Source organism: Homo sapiens, chromosome 10 (genome assembly GCF_000001405.40).
Source record: "Homo sapiens chromosome 10, GRCh38.p14 Primary Assembly".
Lineage (NCBI taxonomy): Eukaryota > Metazoa > Chordata > Mammalia > Primates > Hominidae > Homo > Homo sapiens.
This window is the reverse complement of record NC_000010.11, coordinates 17,692,765-17,711,551: the sequence shown is the minus strand read 5'-3', so window position 1 is coordinate 17,711,551 and position 18,787 is coordinate 17,692,765. Positions and strand designations below refer to the sequence as shown.

At 36.7% G+C, this 18,787-nt stretch overlaps 1 protein-coding gene across 10 annotated transcripts in view; it reads right to left on the bottom strand.

Annotated features, from left to right (window-relative positions):
- STAM (signal transducing adaptor molecule) overlaps positions 1 to 18,787 on the bottom strand; it is a 72,674-nt gene that overhangs the window by 5,273 nt on the left and 48,614 nt on the right. For all 10 annotated transcript variants that reach the window (NM_001324284.2, NM_001324285.2, NM_001324288.2 and 7 more), the window contains 8 exons: positions 18,240 to 18,330; positions 16,311 to 16,503; positions 14,683 to 14,777; positions 11,273 to 11,361; positions 7,034 to 7,121; positions 6,528 to 6,582; positions 5,811 to 5,964; positions 2,601 to 2,776 (listed from right to left, as the gene is read on the bottom strand). In NM_001324284.2, the coding sequence (NP_001311213.1) occupies positions 2,601 to 2,776; positions 5,811 to 5,964; positions 6,528 to 6,582; positions 7,034 to 7,121; positions 11,273 to 11,361; positions 14,683 to 14,777; positions 16,311 to 16,503; positions 18,240 to 18,330 (941 nt within the window). The remainder of the gene's footprint in view (positions 1 to 2,600; positions 2,777 to 5,810; positions 5,965 to 6,527; positions 6,583 to 7,033; positions 7,122 to 11,272; positions 11,362 to 14,682; positions 14,778 to 16,310; positions 16,504 to 18,239; positions 18,331 to 18,787) is intronic.

Below are 18,787 nucleotides of genomic sequence, written 5' to 3'. Positions count from 1 at the left end.
TGAGGCTCCTAAGGTACAAGGCATATATCTTCTTTATTTATAAATCATGTTGTATAAAATTATATTTTTTTATGTGTTTGCCCCTACTACTCAGTAAGCACCTTGAAGCTAAAGAAGACTCTCAGGTGTCTAACACAGTGCCTGGCACATGCTGACTGTAGTAAACTAAAATCAGAGACAAATAAATACATAAGCTTCAGTGGTCTCAAAATACTAACAGTAATTGTCACTTATTATCACCTTATAATACTACCATCGCTACAGGTAGCTTTAGAAAACCGTCATCAGTGACACCTTCCCCAACTAACAATAAGACTGTCCTAGGATGACAGAAGTCTGAAAAACAGTGAGCTTTAACACCAAAATTTTATGTAACAAGAGATAGCCTCTCAGATATATATAAACTGAGGAGTGCTAAAAAACCTGCCTACCAAAAACAACAACAATCCTCACTGACCTTGATTTGCCGCTAGAAAGCTCGAGTCAAATACGCAGGACACCTCTAGTAAGGAAATTTCTAACCCTGGCCCTCGCTCCTTCCAATTTCCTCATCCTACATTTGCTCTACCAGCAATTCCTCATTTCCCCGTTGAAACACACAAACACACATCTGTTTTTATATATTGATAAACAGATATTACATATTGTACCTTTATATATAGATATTTAAATGGCCTCTAAGCCTTTGTGAAGCCTTTGCAAGGAATTTTTAAAAAATACACCTAACTGGTCTAATATAGCACTTGAAATTGTCATTAACACTAAAACATGTATTCATAAAATATTTACTGAGTTCCTAGCCAGTGTAAAACTGTGTGCTACATAGGATGGCTATAGAGGTGAAAGACAGTGCCAGCTCTCAAGATACTGTCTTCAGTGGGGATACAAACAAGTAAAAAGGCAACTACCAGCCAGGAAACGGAAGTACACACACAGTCCTCTGACAGCACACAGGAGGAACAGTGCTGAGAGGTGGAAAAGCAAGGAAGATGTCCCAGTAAAAATGCAGCTAAGCTAACAACTAAAGAATATGCAGGAATGAGCCAGGACGAGAGGGCTAAATATTTCAAGAAAATGTTCTTCAAAAGACACCTGTTGAAATAAACATGTGTTCCTTGAGAGGTGACATTAATAGCTACACTCTATGGGTAGGGTTGGGCCTATGCCAGGGATTTCACATCCCGAATGCAGAAGCAGAGTCACACACAGAGAACAGCAGCAGGGTACCACAGCGCTACAGAACTTCACTGTTAAAGCACCTACCAACAGGTTATCTCATTCACAAGGATAATTTCCCAAGGCCCCGACCTTGAAGAATGAGTCTCAAGTAATCTCTAGTAACAAGGAAGGTAGAGCAGCATGTGACATAGTCAAACAGAGGACTAGCAGGGGAAAAGTGGCAGTTCCGGCTAATACTAAAATAGCTGCAGGGTCCTATTAAGTCAGGAACCCTAGTGTCTTCTCAACAATTCCTACCTTCTAGCCCCTTTGTATCTAGTTGTAAAGCAACATGCTACTCTAAGAACAGCTGTTTATTTTCCAGAAGGGTATTCATTTCCACCAGATTTCAACTTAAAAAAAAATCCTGCAAGAGTGCAAGCTACACTTAACACTTTTTTCTAAGATACAGAACCCACTAGGGAATGCCCTGTTTTCTGACATGTGGGCCTTGCCATCATCCCCCTTAAGGTCACTTCGGGATACTAGATCTGACAACCGAATAATGCTTGAAAATCCCCAAGCATCTCTAACACGTAACTCTTTGAGGATGAGTAGTGCAAGAGAGGGCAGTGCAGGAGCATTCCTGGGCAATCCTAACACTGCTGGAAAGGTTTCTAGAAGTTGTGCCTGTGCTACCTAGAAACTTCTGTTGCCAGCTAGAATGTCGTAACTTCTAGAATACACGTTGGTAAACTCTTAAAAGCCTATCCTTTATTTGCTTCAAGGAAAAGATTTCAGCTCAGAGTCCCATTAAAGCAGAAAAAACACACAATAATCATTTAACTACATGACAGACAGCACTGTAAGTAAATGGCAAAGTAAATGGGCCTCTGTCATCACATATTCAGCCATCTGCCTCCTGAGAAACAAGGGTGCTTACCTTCTTATTATCTTCTTGTTTCAAATGGGGTACCTTGATATAATATAAACTAAATTCCAAAACAGGGCAAAAATAAGAAAATATTTGTCTTAAAGAGACAGCTCAGAACTATATATTTTAAAATAACGGAATTTAGATTTTATACAAAATGTGTGGAAAAATGACAAATTATAGTCACTAAACATAAATTTCATTAAAGACATTATCAAATATCATAGATGCAAATAAAAACAACAATAAAAACTTATGGTTAGAGTAGTATTAAAAATATAAGGCTGAAACCAGATTACATGAGTTGAGCGAGTCGGGAGCAGAGGACCAGCTTGCTGGCTGGTACTGGAATACCACAGAGGCTCCACCACTCATTAGCACAAATGGGGCGGCCGCATGACGCTGACCACAGATATTTATTAGCCAGATTTTATAGTTATAGATAACTGGGGGCACTTAAACAGCTGTAACAGCACTAACTCCAAACAAGAATCAACAGTAAAATTACTTTGGGTAAGCGGCCTGAGTCTGCTGACTAGGAAGGGCTGGGTTTGCGGATGGTGGGACCACTGCCTGGCTGAGAGAAGACAGCTGCTCCGGGGGAAGACTGTAGCTCTGGAGGTGGCTCATCTGCGCGTTCCCTGCAACCAGGTAGGCACCACTTGGAGGAGGCCCTGCATACACCTGCGATGGTTAAAGAGAAATCATATTCAATTCTAAAATTTTAATAAGCATACTGAACTTTCTCTGTAGAGGTATTCAGTTACAAAAACAAGAAAAATCACCACTCTGGAATCCTTTTTTCAAAGTTATTTCTGTCAACGGGCATTTTGAAAAACGCTTTTCAATGAAATAGGCTGTTGATGGTTTTCATTTTTAGTTAAACATATGCTAAACTCATGTTATCTCCATACTGAAGCATTAAAGAAACTTATCCTGAAACTTTATACTAATCTCCCTTTACATTAAATATATTTTAATATTCTGCATGTTGGTATTTTTTAAGGAATCCCAAAGGATATTTAGAAAGTGTATTTGAACTCATTGTTTTGTAGCCATAGACTGCAATGGATACAAGTCACATTTCCTAAACTGCAGTTTATTGAACAATAGAGCAAGCTAACTTTCTAAAGCAGGGGTCAGCAAACTTTTTTGTAAAGGGCCTGACGTAAATATTTTAAGTTTTGTGGACCATGTAGTCTCTGACACAACTACTCGGCTCTGTCAGTAAATCAGAGTGGCTGTGTTCTGATAAAAGTTTATTTAAAGCCGCCAGGCATGGTGGCTCATGCCTGTAATCCCAGCACTTTGGGAGGCCGAGGCAGGCAGATCACGAGGTCAGGAGATCGAGACCATCCTGGCTAACACAGTGAAACCCCGTCTCTACTAAAAATACAAAAAATTAGCCAGGCGTGGTGGCGGGCGCCTGCAGTCCCAGCTACTCGGGAGGCTGAGGCAGGAGAATGGCCTGAACCCAGGAGGCGGAGCTGGCAGCGAGCTGAGATCGCGCCACTGCACTCCAGCCTGGGCGACAAAGCAAGACTCCGTCTCAAAAAAAAGTTTATTAAAAAAAAAAAAAACAGGCAACAGGCTGGATTTGTCTACTTCTGTATTTCAAAATGCATTTTTTTAATCTAAAGAGATTGAAGTCTTAACTACCCAAAGTCTAAAACACATAATGTCCTAATTTTCTGCAGTATTCATTAGATCCTTCCATTTAGCACTTCTGTTAAACGACAGACCCACACAGGGATCCAAAGGGTCTTCATTATAAACACAGCTATACCAGTCCTCCTAACTTTATTTTGTCATTCTTCGAAAATTGAACATGAAGGTTTTTTGCTTCCTTGTCTCAAACTGGTGATCAAGACTCTAAAGCAGGTGCCCTCTAGCCCCAAGTTTCTTGGGCCTAGCTGTTCATCTACAGGGTGCTGGCCCCTCATTCTGCTAAACGTTAATCTGAACACAGTCCGTGCCCACTTTACATGGAAAAAATGGAGTATCTGGCTAGTTTTGTTTTTATTTATTATTATTATTATTATTATTTTTTGAGGTGGAGTCTTGCTCTGTCGCCCAGGCTGGAGTGCAATGGCACGATCTCGGCTCACTGCAACCTCCGCCTCCCGGGTTCATGCCATTCTCCTGCCTCAGCCTCCCAAGTAGCTGGGACTATAGGCACCCACCACCACGCCAGGCTAAATTTTTTGTATTTTGAGCAGAGACAGGGTTTCACCATGTTAGCCAGGATGGTCTCCATCTCCTGACCTCGTGATCCACCCGCCTCGGCCTCCCAACGTGCTGGGATTACAGGTATGAGCCACCGCACCCGGCCAGTATCTGGCTAGTTATTCCCTATAACCTCACCTCACCGTGATGAGTTTGTGAAAAGGGGGTCCTTGAAATAGTTGCTTGGGGTGAAAAGAAAGCAAACGGCTCTACACTGCATTGCATGCATTCTCATGTAAAGCAGGGAAAATTCCAGATTAAAGCAGTTTTTAAATTATGGAAATATATTTTGTTGGTTTGTAATAATAAAAACAGGTTTTTACCTCATTTTTTTTTCACTGCATTTAAGTTTTCCTTTTAAGGATAACTAGAAGTTCATTAGATATTTAAGAGAGTTTTCTTAGCTCTAAAAGCATTTTGTGTTTTTTACGAAACTACTTTATTGAGATATGTCTGACCTGCAAAAGGCTATACATATTGAGTGTACACAACCTGATGAAGAACTAAGGTTCTTAAGTAAATAATTACATACGAAGCTTTAAAAATATGGGCCTCGGCCGGGCGCGATGGCTCACACCTGGAATCCCAGCACTTTGGGAGGCCGAGGCGGGTGGATCACGAGGTCAGGAGATCAAGGCCAACCTGGCTAACACGGCGAAACCCCGTCTCTACTAAAAATACAAAAAAATTAGCCTGGCGTGGTGACGGGCGCCTGTAGTCCCAGCTACTCAGGAGGCTGAGGCAGGAGAATGGCGAGAACCCGGAAGGCGGAGCTTGCAGTGAGCTGAGATTGCAGCACTGCACTCCAGCCTGGGCCACGGAGTGAGACTCCGCCTCAAAAAAAAAAAAAAAAAAAAAAAAAAAGGGCCTCAACCCTGAGGATTCTGATTCAATAGGTCTGGAGTGGGATGGATATATCTGTAATTTTTTTCAAAAGTGTGATGGCTGATTCTGCTGCATAACCCTGTATAAAAGCTATTTCCTTTAAACAACAACAACAACAAAAAACTATTAGCATAATTAGTATATTATATGCTGTAACTGCCAAGTAAAAAAATTCCGTTAAACTTTATTTTAATTTTAAACATTAGTTTTAGAAAGTTTCAAACAGCTATTCCAAATAATCTCAAATGCATTTGAGAATTTATTTATTTATTTATTTATTTTAGAGACAGGGTGTCGCTGTTGCCCAGGCTAGACTGCAGTGGTGTGAACACGGCTCACTGCAGCCTCGACCTTCTGGGCTCAAGCTATCCTCCCACCTCAGCTTTTCGAGAGCAGGGACCAAGGAACATGCCCCAGCCTGGCTAATTTTTTTTTTTTTTTTTGGTAGAGACAGAGTCTCACTATGTTACCCAGGCTGGTCTTAAACTCCTGGTCTCAAGCAATCCTCTTGCCTTGGCCTCCCAAATTGCTGAGATTACAGGCATGAGCTACCACACCTCACTGTGCATTTGAGAATTTAAAACAACATGGGCTTCTAAAAGCTTACCTGAGAACCAGAAACACCAGATGACTGCATATAATATGGCTGATTCTGTAACTTTGCATACATGGAATACATCGGATCTTCGTTCATTAACTTGGTATATAAGGAAAGGGCCTCCATCACTTTCACATTAAGTTCTGAGAGTTCTGAATGTTTTCTGAAACATGACACAATAATTTGAAGCATAGCTGTTACTAAAATGATATAATGCTCTAAATAATGATACATCAAAATATCAAAAATGGCAAAAAGTAGTACTAGTAGACATTATTAAAAATTTCACTTATAACAAAAATATCCTGCATTTTAGCCCTGAAGCAACCCAAACTGTTTAAGGTTTACGTGCTGTGCTAAGGGAACTCCGTCTTATCGTACCTGACTGTACCAGAAATATCTTGGTTTCCCTAGTTACTAACATATGGGTCATTTGTGAGCTCTGGTAATGCCACTTCAGCAAAGAGAATTACATAGCTAGCCCTTGTTTTTAAAACGACCTATCTACGCTGGTCCTTTTGACTATATTGCAAAGGTCGATCAAATCCTCACTTTAAAAAAAAGGACAAATGAGTCTAATTCTCCACATCTAGCACAAGATATGTGAATGAGAGTTGGTTCCTCCACAATATTTTTTTTTTAAAAGGCAGTTATAGCCCACTTTGCAGTACAGTGATAGCTTCAGGAAAGAAGGTACACAACATAAATGCACCCATGTTCTTTTACCTATCAATATCTTCCAGCTTTTCATCAATGAGAGGTCCCATCTGGTGACACATTGCTAAAATGACAAGATGTGAAGAAATATAAGAAAGTACAAGAAAAAAAAATGTGAACCTTTGATAGATATTTGTATAATTTAAGGAATAAAAGATTTAATTTGGAGTAATAAAAATATACATTCTTTAACCTTAGTCTACAGAACCCAAAATTGATTTTCTTAAAGTATAATGGTGACAACTTAATCTAAAATATTAATCTGAAAATCTTAAAGTGCCATTTTTCATTTTACCAGGTTCTAAAATGTTGAACAGAACACTTCGTTTGGATAGAAAATTATAAGAATTCAAATTCTACCCAAGGTTTCAACTGCATATGAGAGTGAGCCTGGGTCAAGGAGAAGTGAGAAATGTTCCATTTTTAATATTATCCTCAAAACCCATTCTTTAACAGGACACCAGTTATTAACCTCTAACTACTCTTTATTTGCAAGGTAAATAGAAAAGTTTTACCTTCAAGATGAAGCAGCTCTGGTAGGTCTGGCTGATCATCACTGGGGTCTGTACTTTGCAGCATCTGTAGCAACTGGTCCATTTTATCCTACAGGAATTAAGTAGTTAATATAAAAAGCTACCAACCTTTAGGCAACTTTATGTTTTCACTTTATTATCAACTAGACAAACTTTTGAAATTCATAGTTATGGAGACTCCAATTTTGCTTTTATGTTGTCAGTGTCCCATGTATTTATTCTCTCTAGTACTGCATGAAGTCAGAGCCTTGAAAGTACTTCCTATATATTTTTGAAACTGCTCAGGAGGCTGAGGTGGGAGAATCACTTGAGCCCAGGAGGTCAAGGCTGCAGTGAGCTATGATCTCGCCACTGCACTTCAGTCTGGACAACAGTGCAAGACCCTGTTTAAATAAATAAATAAACCAACCAACCAACTGCTAACAGAGATTCTCTTAAGCGAGAAGAAATCAAGCCACATTTAAACTTACAATGCGTGAGTTCTTCCACCTCTTATGTCATGCCAGAGGATTTTGCTTTGTTTCGGAGCAGCTTTAGCTTAGCCATGCCAACAAGTGTACTATCCATCTCAAGATGGCATTGCTTATGACTAACAACTTGTCATTCCTACTTGCCCATGGTGAATACAGCAGCTGTTTCAGTAAGGCAGAGCTCAGCTGTATCACAGCTGCTCTTCTAAGTGGGACTCTTAGGGTTTATTCCACATTTTCTTTCTACCAGTGTTTCAGTTGGTCATAAAAGGAAGGAGGAAGACTAGTGGTTTCTCTATTTTCCTATTTGGGAGAGGCTGGAAGGTACCTCAAACCAGTGACACAGATCTATTTCAGAATCTTTTGTTGTACAGACCAATGGAATGAATGAAACCATTATTACATACACACATCTATACGATATATAAGTATATATGTATTTATGTTTTTTAAAAAATCCAAACAGATCTACTTTACCATGACCACTACTAAAATAATTACAAACCTTTCTCCATGCATGGTTTTTACATGGTTATGCTACTATATATAGGTACGCAGGGCAAATAAAGACTACTAATCCTAAGCAAAGTAATTATTTAAAATTTAAAAACTATGTTCTGTGTAAAAGGAAAATAGCTTGAGAAACGAATTAATCATCAGAGAGTGAAAGTGACATAAGTATGCTAAAAAAAAAAAAAACTCTTCCCAAGTCAAAATAATTCTGTTTTTTTGAAATGGATACCAATTTTCAATGTAAATTATTCACAATTTTCATTTTAAGCAGTCTTAAAAAACAAAAGCACATGTCAAGAAAGTTTGCCTACCACACACAAAAAAAGGTCAAATGAAAGTGAGAGTCCATTAACACACAGATGGTTTCCGTTTTGTTTGCTTACAGAATACTATACAATATTTAAAATTATTTAGTGTCAAAGAAGTAGGGTTTCTACATAGATGATTAGTCTGCTTCTGCAAGTATTTTCTTTTCTTTTCTTTTCTTTTCTTTTTTTTTTTTTTTTTTTGAGATGGAGTCTTACTCTGTCTCCCAGGCTGGAGTGCAGTGGCATGATCTTGGCTCACTACGACCTTCCGCCTCCCAGATTCAAGCGATTCTCCTGCCTCAGCCTCCCAAGTAGCTAGGATTACAAGCGCACACCACCACGTCCAGCGAATCTTTGTATTTTTAGTAGAGACGGGGTTTCACCATGTTGGCCAGGATGGTCTCAATGTCCTGACCTCGTGATCTGCCCGCCTCGGCCTCCCGAAGTGCTGGGATTACAGGCGAGAGCCACTGCGCCTGGCCAGCATTTTCTTATATAATGCAATCAGCCAAACATCACTTCTCCTAGCCCAGGTGGATTCCTTGCCCTTAGCACAGTCTTCCACAGTCTGTTTCGCTCTTCAAATTTTGTTTCTGCCTCCCATAAAAGATTGCTAAAAGCCCATAAACCCCTTCACATATTTCAAAGATAACATCTCATTTCTTATACATTTAAAATGTTACAAAGGATAAGATTCCCAGGACATTAAGTGTTGACATTTTAAAATAAAATAGTCAAAAATTCCTTTAAATATAGCCAAAGGAATTTAAACACCACAGCAATCTGCACTCACCATTACCATTCAAACAACAGTCTCTGTCATGTATTTCAAATTGTTTTTTTCCTTGAACTTATCATATTTCTACTCAATTTCCCCTCCAAAATTTTATCCTAATATACTTGAAAGTTTTCTACCGATGACCATATGGGATTTCTTTGCACTAAAAGTATGTAAACTGATAATACTCTCAGTATTAGATTCATTCATATGTATAAGGTAATGATTATTATTATTAATATGCAAAGGGTCAAAACAACATTAACTATATTTCAAGTTTTGAAAAGTAAAATGAGCCAGGATTCAGCACCAGTTCTATTCCTATTTTTTGTTTTTATAGTTGAAAGTGAGGAGAAATTTTGTTCATATAATCAAGCTATTATAGCAATTTCATTAAGTTCTTTCGGTATCTTCTGAAAGATGGAATGGAATGACAGTGGTCTGTCATTAAAAATTATTTTTAATGATCTACTAGCTGAAAATTCATTTTGGTCCTATTTTTTAAAAACAAAAAATATGGAACCATCTCAGCTGTGTTAACTAGTCATTAGAGCCATGACTTTCTTAATACCAAAACCAGTATATGAAATCATCCCTGGTAATTCTTATACTCTGAGGCAATGTACCACAGTAATCTTCACTACGGGCAAGCGGTAAGCCTTTCTTCCGTAAAGTTGGAGAGAAGAATTGAAAAGGGAGAGGAGGGGGGTAAAAACGAAAATGGTAGGAGAGAATGTTCTCGGGCAGATCAATTTTAGGAAAGAATGCTATGGTAACTGAGGATCGGAAAAGATTCTCTTTAAATTATCCATACCAAGGGCCAAGCAAACTTTTTCTGTAATGGCCCGCCAGTAAATATTTCAGGCTTTGCAGGCCATATGATCTCTGTTGCTACTACTCAATTCTTCCACTGCAGCACAAAAGCAGCCAAACAATATATAAACAAATTTATCTGTGTTCCAATAAACAGGCAACAGGCTAAATTTGGCCTAAGAGTTTGCCAACTCCTGATCTATACAATGTGACACTTCAAAAATCCTTAATGGTTTGCTAGTTGCATAATTTAATGTATTATTAACTCAACAGTTGTTAATGTTATTTTTAAAACATGGTAATAAGTTTGAGTAGAAAAAGACAACCACAAACATACTTTTTATTTTTTCATAAACACGCTTAAAGATGAAAAAGGTAGCCAGTTTTAATCTTTTCTTTATATGCAGTAACAGCAGATATTTCTATAAAACTTAACTAAATAGGAGTGATTAACTTAATTCAAGAAATCTCAAATTTAAATCCCAATAATACCAATTTGGGTACCATTATGTGGCTCCAAAAAGTATGGTGTGTCACCAAGTTGATATTATATTTTTGAGCATAATTACTAAAAATATACATTGTTTCAGGTGTGACAATGACATATGAAGACATTTAATATAAAATTAGCGTAAGCTTTTCCTCAAATACTAGAAAGTGTTCAACACAAGGAGGAATCATGAATCATCTCCAATGATATTCAATATATTAGCACTGCTTTTATGCAATGATTTATGTAGAAGTAATTTAATGACAATTTTATTTTTACAACAGTAATTTATTTGTTTCAATAGATAGTCAATGAGTGTCCCTTCCTCAGTCATGTGCAAACAATCTTAATATCCTTGTTGAGTATGCTGGGAAACAGGAGTTCTCGCATGATATGAATACGAGTGTAAAAACTTGTTTTGCTCAACAATTTGACATTATCTATTAACATGGAAAATACACAAATCCTTCAACTCAATAGTTTCACTCCTGAATATCTACCCTAAAGAAACACAAAGATAGATGTTCAAAAAAAAAAAAAATCTCACTACTACACTGTAAAAACTGTAAACAACCTAGGCATTCAACAATAGATTAAATAAATCATGGTAAGGCCACTCTACAGAATATTCAGCAGGAATTTAAAATAATGAGGCTCTGGCACGGCAAACAAAGGACTGGAGAGGAAGTTTCAAAAAACAGTCTGCATCGTCTATATTGCTTGAATTTTTATAAAAAAATACAAAAATTTTTACAACAAAAAAACTCAAGTAATCAATTTTTTCTTAAAGCAAAACCATTTAAATTTCAATACAAAGTACCAACTCCTATCACCATGGAAACCACTTACTTCATCAATAAAGGCTGGTTCCGGCTCTGGTTCTATTGTCTCTACCTGAACATCATCACTAAATTGTACCGTCTTCTTCTCTGTTTTAACTGTAAGATATGTAAAAGTTATCTTTTTTTAATAATACATTTAAAATTCTACTTTAAAGCACTTTAACTTCCAAGAGAGATTTGGGGATTTTTCTTATACTCCCAGCAAGCTAAAAGGCGCAATTTAAGAAATAACTGAGTTGCAGATTTTGGCAGTAATAACACAACATTACTTTATGAAATTGGATTTCTTAATTTTCTCTTGTAAACATTTTACAGTTTCCATAAAAAGAGATTTCACTAATAATAAGAGTTGTATTTCTGAAAAAAGGTTAATCACCTACTACACATCAGAGTTTAGTAAGCTGGAGGACAAAAGCAAAGTTTTACAATGGCCTAAGTGAATTCTGCAATTTAAAATAAACCCTCTTTTTAAATTACTAATCCTTCAAGAAAAAATCTCATTTGGTAGAAAAAAAAAATCTGGTTTGACAGAAAATCCACACTACTCCAATGTAATGAATGGGAAAATCAGCTATGTATTATCTGGCGTGCCACGTAGGCGTTTAGAGAGCGCCGTCCATGCCAGTGGAGAACTTTGCAGGTGGCCTTGACAGGGGTCTCAGTCTTCCAACAAATCAGCCTGTATTTTCTAGTTATATAATATTATCATTTGACATTAAAAAGTGGTCATTGAGGGATCAACAATTCATTGGCCAGAAGCACAGATTTCTCCTACTCACCAAAGCAATCTTTAAAAACAATTTAACATAACAGTAGCTATATAACAACCTCCAAATACTACTGAAAGGCATATACAACTCTACTAAACAAACTTCCTTTCTATATTTTTAATCCTTGCATCAATGTGGTCAATCAATTCATAAAAATATTAAGAATCATGATGGAAAGGAAGACAGGAGGGGGCAATTTAAGGAAGGGAAATAATGTTTATTAAACTATTGAATATGCTTGATGGAATATTACATTTCCTCCAATGAATCTCCCAATCTTATGAGATATGCCCTTTTTATAAATAAGGTAGTTTGGAAAGATTAAAAACTTTTGTAAAAGAGAAAGCTAATAAATGACAAAGCCTGGATTTGAATGCCAATCTATCTTGCTCTACTAGCCCATACTACTGAAATCTGGCCTGTGCCAGTGATTTTACCCCGAGAACATGAAGTCCAATCACTTGGGTACTCCGTGTTGTGTGCTTCTGTATAACACAGAAATAGCTTAATTTCCAACCTAAGAAATATAATCATTCCATTCAAGTCACCAAAAGCAAAATTCTACAGCTGATTCATTTTCCTATAAAGGAAAAGAAACATCTGCTGCAGACATTTTGCTTTTTATATCTTGAGCTATTACAAGTAGAAAGCTGGGATAGCACTGCATTGGCCATTACCCATAAGAAAAACATGGCAGACTTCATATTCTAACAGCTCTTGACGCGCAAGTTTGCAACCCCTTTTCTCACAGGAACTAATACTATGTGTGTGTAAAAAAATATATTATTTATATACAATATATAACAAAGGGATTTCACAATATTTTACTGTATCTCCAAACCAAAAGCAAGCTAAATAGGGCAGCTATTTCTCTTTGACAGGCTAAGTGAAATAGACTTCTATTTCCTCAAAAGAATGATGCTCTGGGGATCATGCTAGCACCTGCACCTGTTCTCCACGCTTGAGAACTACAACCCCACTACATAGGCTCTGATGCTTCAGTTTCTCTTTTAGATCGTCCAGAGTGAAAAACATGAGAAAAACTAGAAAACTCATATTGAAGCTGCATTGCTATATGACTTAAAAAAAAAAAAAGATGAAATGGCTCCAGGATCTACATGAGATCCTTGACCTTATCTTGAACAGAACTCCAAGCAATTCTATCCTCTCCAGGAACTGATTCAGGACAAAAAAATAGTCCAAAAACAAACAAAACATCATTACCAGCCCAGGTTATTAAAAAGTCAGCACACTACGCAATGCCATTTAAACAAGGTTGACATGTTTTTGAATTCTCACAGACATAGAAAACATCATTGAAAGACTGGGTCTCACCAATCTGTCTCTATAAAAATGACACCAGACACCCTGGCAATAACTATGAGAGCGCACCATTTTCTTAAAGATCTGTAATTTCTGGTTTGCTGTTCAAGCCTTCTCTTGAAAGAGAAGTGAAGTATCTCTTTATTGTTAACATATATATTTCTGTATCATTTATTCTATAAATATGTAGTATGTATTATAAGACTCACTATTAGGAGCTGCTGGAAATAAAAAGATGACCAGGACAAAGATTTTTTTTCTTAAAATTCTTATAAACTAAAAAACACCTAAGCATCTTGTGGTTTGTAATTTTCTTTGATCCCTTCTATCTAGCATTAAAAAACGATAATGAGATATTTTGCCAAATAACTGTAGCATATCAACCTATACATATAAGCTCTTTAAAAATTTTAAATATTTTATTACAAATACAAATCTTTCTAGATTTGAACATATTTTTCTGTTTTCCTAGAGGGGAGATTATGACTTAAACTTTGCTTGATGACTAAACTCATCATTATGAAGATTCATTAAAGCACAATATTATGTAGAAATATAGTAAACTGTCTCTCACTACTTTGACCGACTATGTAGCTATGTCTCCTGAAACTGTTAAGCCTGCCACTAGTATCACTTTTTCTCCACGGCCCCACTTTCTAGTTTATTATCCTACTCAGCAGGGTTTGTAAATCAAACAAAAAACTTTTATATGATTAGTAAAAATGGCTCCTTCTGAATATCTGACATGTTGCTTGGAGAACACTGCTTTCAAGTCTGGGACTACACACTAGAGAAACGGTCCCAACCTTTGAACAAGAAAAATCCTCCCTGAGGTTATACTGTACTTGTCACACTGTAATCAACTGGTAAGAAAAATATATAATGTATAAATTCTGTAAGACTTCTTAATGAATTTGCATTTTTACAATGACCTCTACATAGATACATATGAAAAAGAAAAGTTAGGCCAGGTGCGATGGCTCACGCCTGTAATCCCACCACTTTGGGAGACTGAGGCGGGTGGATCACCTGAGGTCAGGAGTTCAAGACCAGCCTGGCCAACATGGTGAAACCCTGTCTCTACTAAAAATACATACACACACAAAAACAGCTGGACATGGCGGCGGGTGCCTGTAATCCCAGCTACTCAGGAGGCTGAGGCAGGAGAATCACCTGAACCCAGGAGGCGGAGGTTGCAATGATCCGAGCTCGCACCACTGCACTCCAGCCTGGGCAACACTGCTCTAAAAAGTTCAGTTTACTCAACTTCCATTAAGAAAAGGATTAGAAAACATCATTTATTGGCAGGCTGGAAAATACTTACTCATTTCTGGTTCAGCAGTGAGATCTGCAGTCACAAAATTAGAAGGAAATAACCCTATGCCTTGATGGGTTTCACCTTTCCACCAGTTAGGATCACTATGACAAACAAAAAACAATGCTTTACCATAACAAATGTATTTATTTCTGTACATCTTTATCTTTTGTAGTATTCAACTTACACTATTACAAAATTTGAATCTCACAATAACCCACTGAAAAAGCCAATGAATCTTCCTTTATTACAAAAGAAGAAGAAGCCTCAGAAAAGGTAAGAAGCTATTCAACACACAGTTGTTTATCTTCTTGACTGCCAATGCATGCTCTGCAGTTATGGACTCTCTCCCAAAAAAAGAGGCACCAATACGAAAAAATTGTCAGCTTCAGATGGTTCACAGGCTCCAGAGTAAGAAGTCTTTGTAATGAGCTATAAAGACAGGCTCTTATTTTCAGTCTCCATTCCTAAATCATTGCTCTTTCTGGTACACAGCAGCAAGGTTTTTTTTTTCTCCCAACAGAACGAATGTCAAAGATGACACTGTTCACAGTGCAAAACATTCGCAAAGAGTACACTCCTAGGTGTAAACTCTAGTATATGGAAAGCTAGCAAGCACTCAATACATGTTTTTGAAAGAACAGACGTAAGGTTTTGGGCAATTTCCAGCTAACCAGCTCAAACTTTATTTTCTTCCACTCAAAAAAAAAAAAATGTTAAAATATGTCTGAATGTTTGTGTCTTCCCAAAATTCACAGGTTGAAATCCTAACCCCCAAAGCAATGGTATCAGAAGGTGGGGACTTTGGAAAGCGATTAAGTCATGAATGAGATTAGCGACCTTATAAAAGAGACCCCAGAGGGCTCATTTGCCCCTGCTGCCATGGGAGGACACAGCAAAATGACAGCCTTCTACAAACCAGAAAGTGGGCCTTCAACACACAGTCAATCTGTCTGTGAGAAATAAATTCCTGTTGTTTATAAACCAGTTAGTCTACGGTAGTTTGTTACGGCAGCCCAAATGGACTAAGGCAGTAAGTAAGAGAGACACTACAGGAAGAACTTTAAATCAATTTGAACTGATTTTTAAAAAACACCTGCAAATTTTAATACTTCATTATCAGTAACAAGCATCAGTAACAATTCATTTTCAAGTAAAACATCACAAAGCTATAGTAAAAAAATAAACTGATGCACTGTATCACCTCCTGAATAAATGTGTAATTCCATACAAAATAAATTTGTTCCCTATGGCTATACTGTTCTGTGTAAAAAAAACTCAATAGATTATATATTTCTTACAAATTGCATTAAGTACATATACATACTCAGTGTTTTTCTAAAACTGTAACCTTTTAAATAATGTAACCATCTATATTATTAGGTGGAACCGAAAATGAATAGATTAAACTAGGCCTCCAAAACAAATTATAAACTAAGTAATAAATAAGAAAAAAATTAAACAACAAAATAAGAATCCACCCAGTATAACACAAGCAAATCAGCCAACTGTCATACAGAGCAGCATCTGGGTCAATATTTATTATTGTATTTGGTAACTGCAATCAACAGGAATAATATGAAACACAGAAGCCATACACACTTTCATACAAATTTTAAATGTAATATTAACATTACCTGTCATCAAGAACTGTAATAATTTCTCCAGCTTTAAAAGTAAGTTCATTGTCTTCAGCAGCTTCAAAGTCATATATAGCACGAACTTTTCGGCCTTCATGTTGGTGGTTAGTTAAGAGACTGGATGTGCTTGGATACAAAGTGGAAAGGGTGGTTGACTGCTGCCTTTGTTCCTTGAGAGACAACTCAATGGCTAGAAAACAATGAGTTTTTAAAGACCCAAAATGTTATTATATCCAACAGTCTGAAGAAGTAGAAAAAGACATCAAGATAAAAGGTATTCTTCCTTCAATAGTATAGTTAGAAACTAGAACATATCCTGATACATTGAACAAAAATCATTTTGTCAGTTTATTCATTCATTCACAACTGAAAGTTTAAAAATAAATTAACAAAATTGGAACAGCATGAAAACTCCTATTTTTACTGAACAAATACAATGTAAATTATTCTGGGTAATAAAAAATACAAACTCTTAAATCTACTTTTCTTTTTTAGCTGCAGATATTTTCCTTGACCTTTTTTTCAAAATAATCATCAAAACTGCCTGGAAAGTCAAGAATATCAAGCTTCACTGCAGACTTAATAAATCAAAGCCTTAAAGGCAATCTTGGAGAATCGAGATTTTATTGCTCCAAGGGTAATTCTTACCAGTCTAAAGACTCAACCTAACAAATCCTCCAAAATAGATCTCAAACGTGTCTCTATCTCCACCACTACTTCCCAAGTGCAGACCATCACCATATGTCACTCAGGCTCTGAAATGTAATATCAGTGCATTGATTATCCTGCTTTCAATTCAACACAGAACCCTTTCTGCTCTTCCGCTCTTGTTTTAGAGTAATAAAAGAAACAATACGAAAACAAAACTTTAAAGCTACTAAAAGTCAATACAGAAAACTATCTTTTAGGACCTTGAGGTAGGGAACAATATTTTTCAAAAGCCATTACAAAGTAAAAATCATAATAAAAAAGCAAACAACTCTGGCCTTCACAAAACTTAAAATTTCTACTTGATAAAATACACCATTATCAAATTTAAGGTCAAAAACCAGGAGTAGATACCTACAATAATTACAACAGATAACAAACTAATATTTCAAATAAAGACTTGTACATATCATTATTTTATTTAACAAAAGACAATTTACCCAAGAGAAAAACATAATGACCAGTGAATATACAAAAAAAGAACTCAGTCTCACTAGCAATCAAAAAAATAAAAATTAAAATAACAGGACATCATTTTAAACCTACCAGATTCATGAAAGTTAAACTCTTTAAGACTACCAAGTGTTGTCAGATTAATAATAATAGCTTTCATACACTGCCAATGGAAAAGGAAATCATAACAACCATTTAACAAAACTGAAGATGTACCAATGCCATGATCCAACAATATTGCTTTTAGTCACACATAATAGAGACGGTCACATATATGTGCACAGAGAATATGTACAAGAATACTCACTGCAGCTTAATTTTAGTAAAAAAAAATCAGAAATAATCCACAGGTCCATCAGTAGGAAGACAGAAAAATATGGTACACTCATTAGTACACTGGATATTATAGAACAGTTAATGGATATATCACACGAATAGATCTCAAACATAATGTTGCATGAGAAAAGCAAGTGGCAAATGGCATTTCCCGTGTACTATCTACAAAAAACAAATTTGTTAGACACAAAAAAGCACTTGATATTGTTTTTGGATACACGGTATAGTAAAAAACTGTCATAAAAACATAGACTGAAAGGATACATGTGACAGTAATTGCCTCTCAAGAGTAAAGCAAAGAATACTGAGGAGGGCAACAAAGCAGATTTCAGCTTTTTGCTATAAAGTTCTATTTATTTTACCTTTAAATATCTCAGAGAAAAAATAAAGGCTTATGTTATTCCCACCATCAGGGACTTAAAAACGCACCTTTTGCTAAATCTTCTTCTTCTTTTTTGTTAGCCACAGTACCAGGATCCTTGGCTACAAGAGCTGGGCTTGCTTTTGCTTGTTCTGCAGCCTAACAAAAAAGAGGAACACAGTATTTGAGGGTTGTTATCAAATTCTCCTCCTCTCACCCACCCTAAGAATTTGCAAAACCTTTCTCATCAATCTAGCACAGATTTCTGAAAGAAGAAATCCAAACTGCAGCAGCTTCCACCTTAAAAGGGAGAGGGAAATGAATCAGAATTGGAGAACACAGAGAGCAACTAGACACTTAGAGGAGGCAGCCTAGGCACACCCTCCCAGGTTTGTGTGAAGAGGTTCAACTAAAAGCATATGGTACACAAGTCAGAGAAGACAGACTAGAGAAGATTTCAACGTGTTTAAAAAAACTCCAAAACCAGAAAAGAGGCTGGGAGACAGAAAGAGATGACTACTTTAAACATAAATAGTTAAAAAAAAAACTGTAGTATCTATTAATAGTTAGAGTTATCATTTCCTTTTGGATCAAGTGTCAGGATGTTATCTTCAGG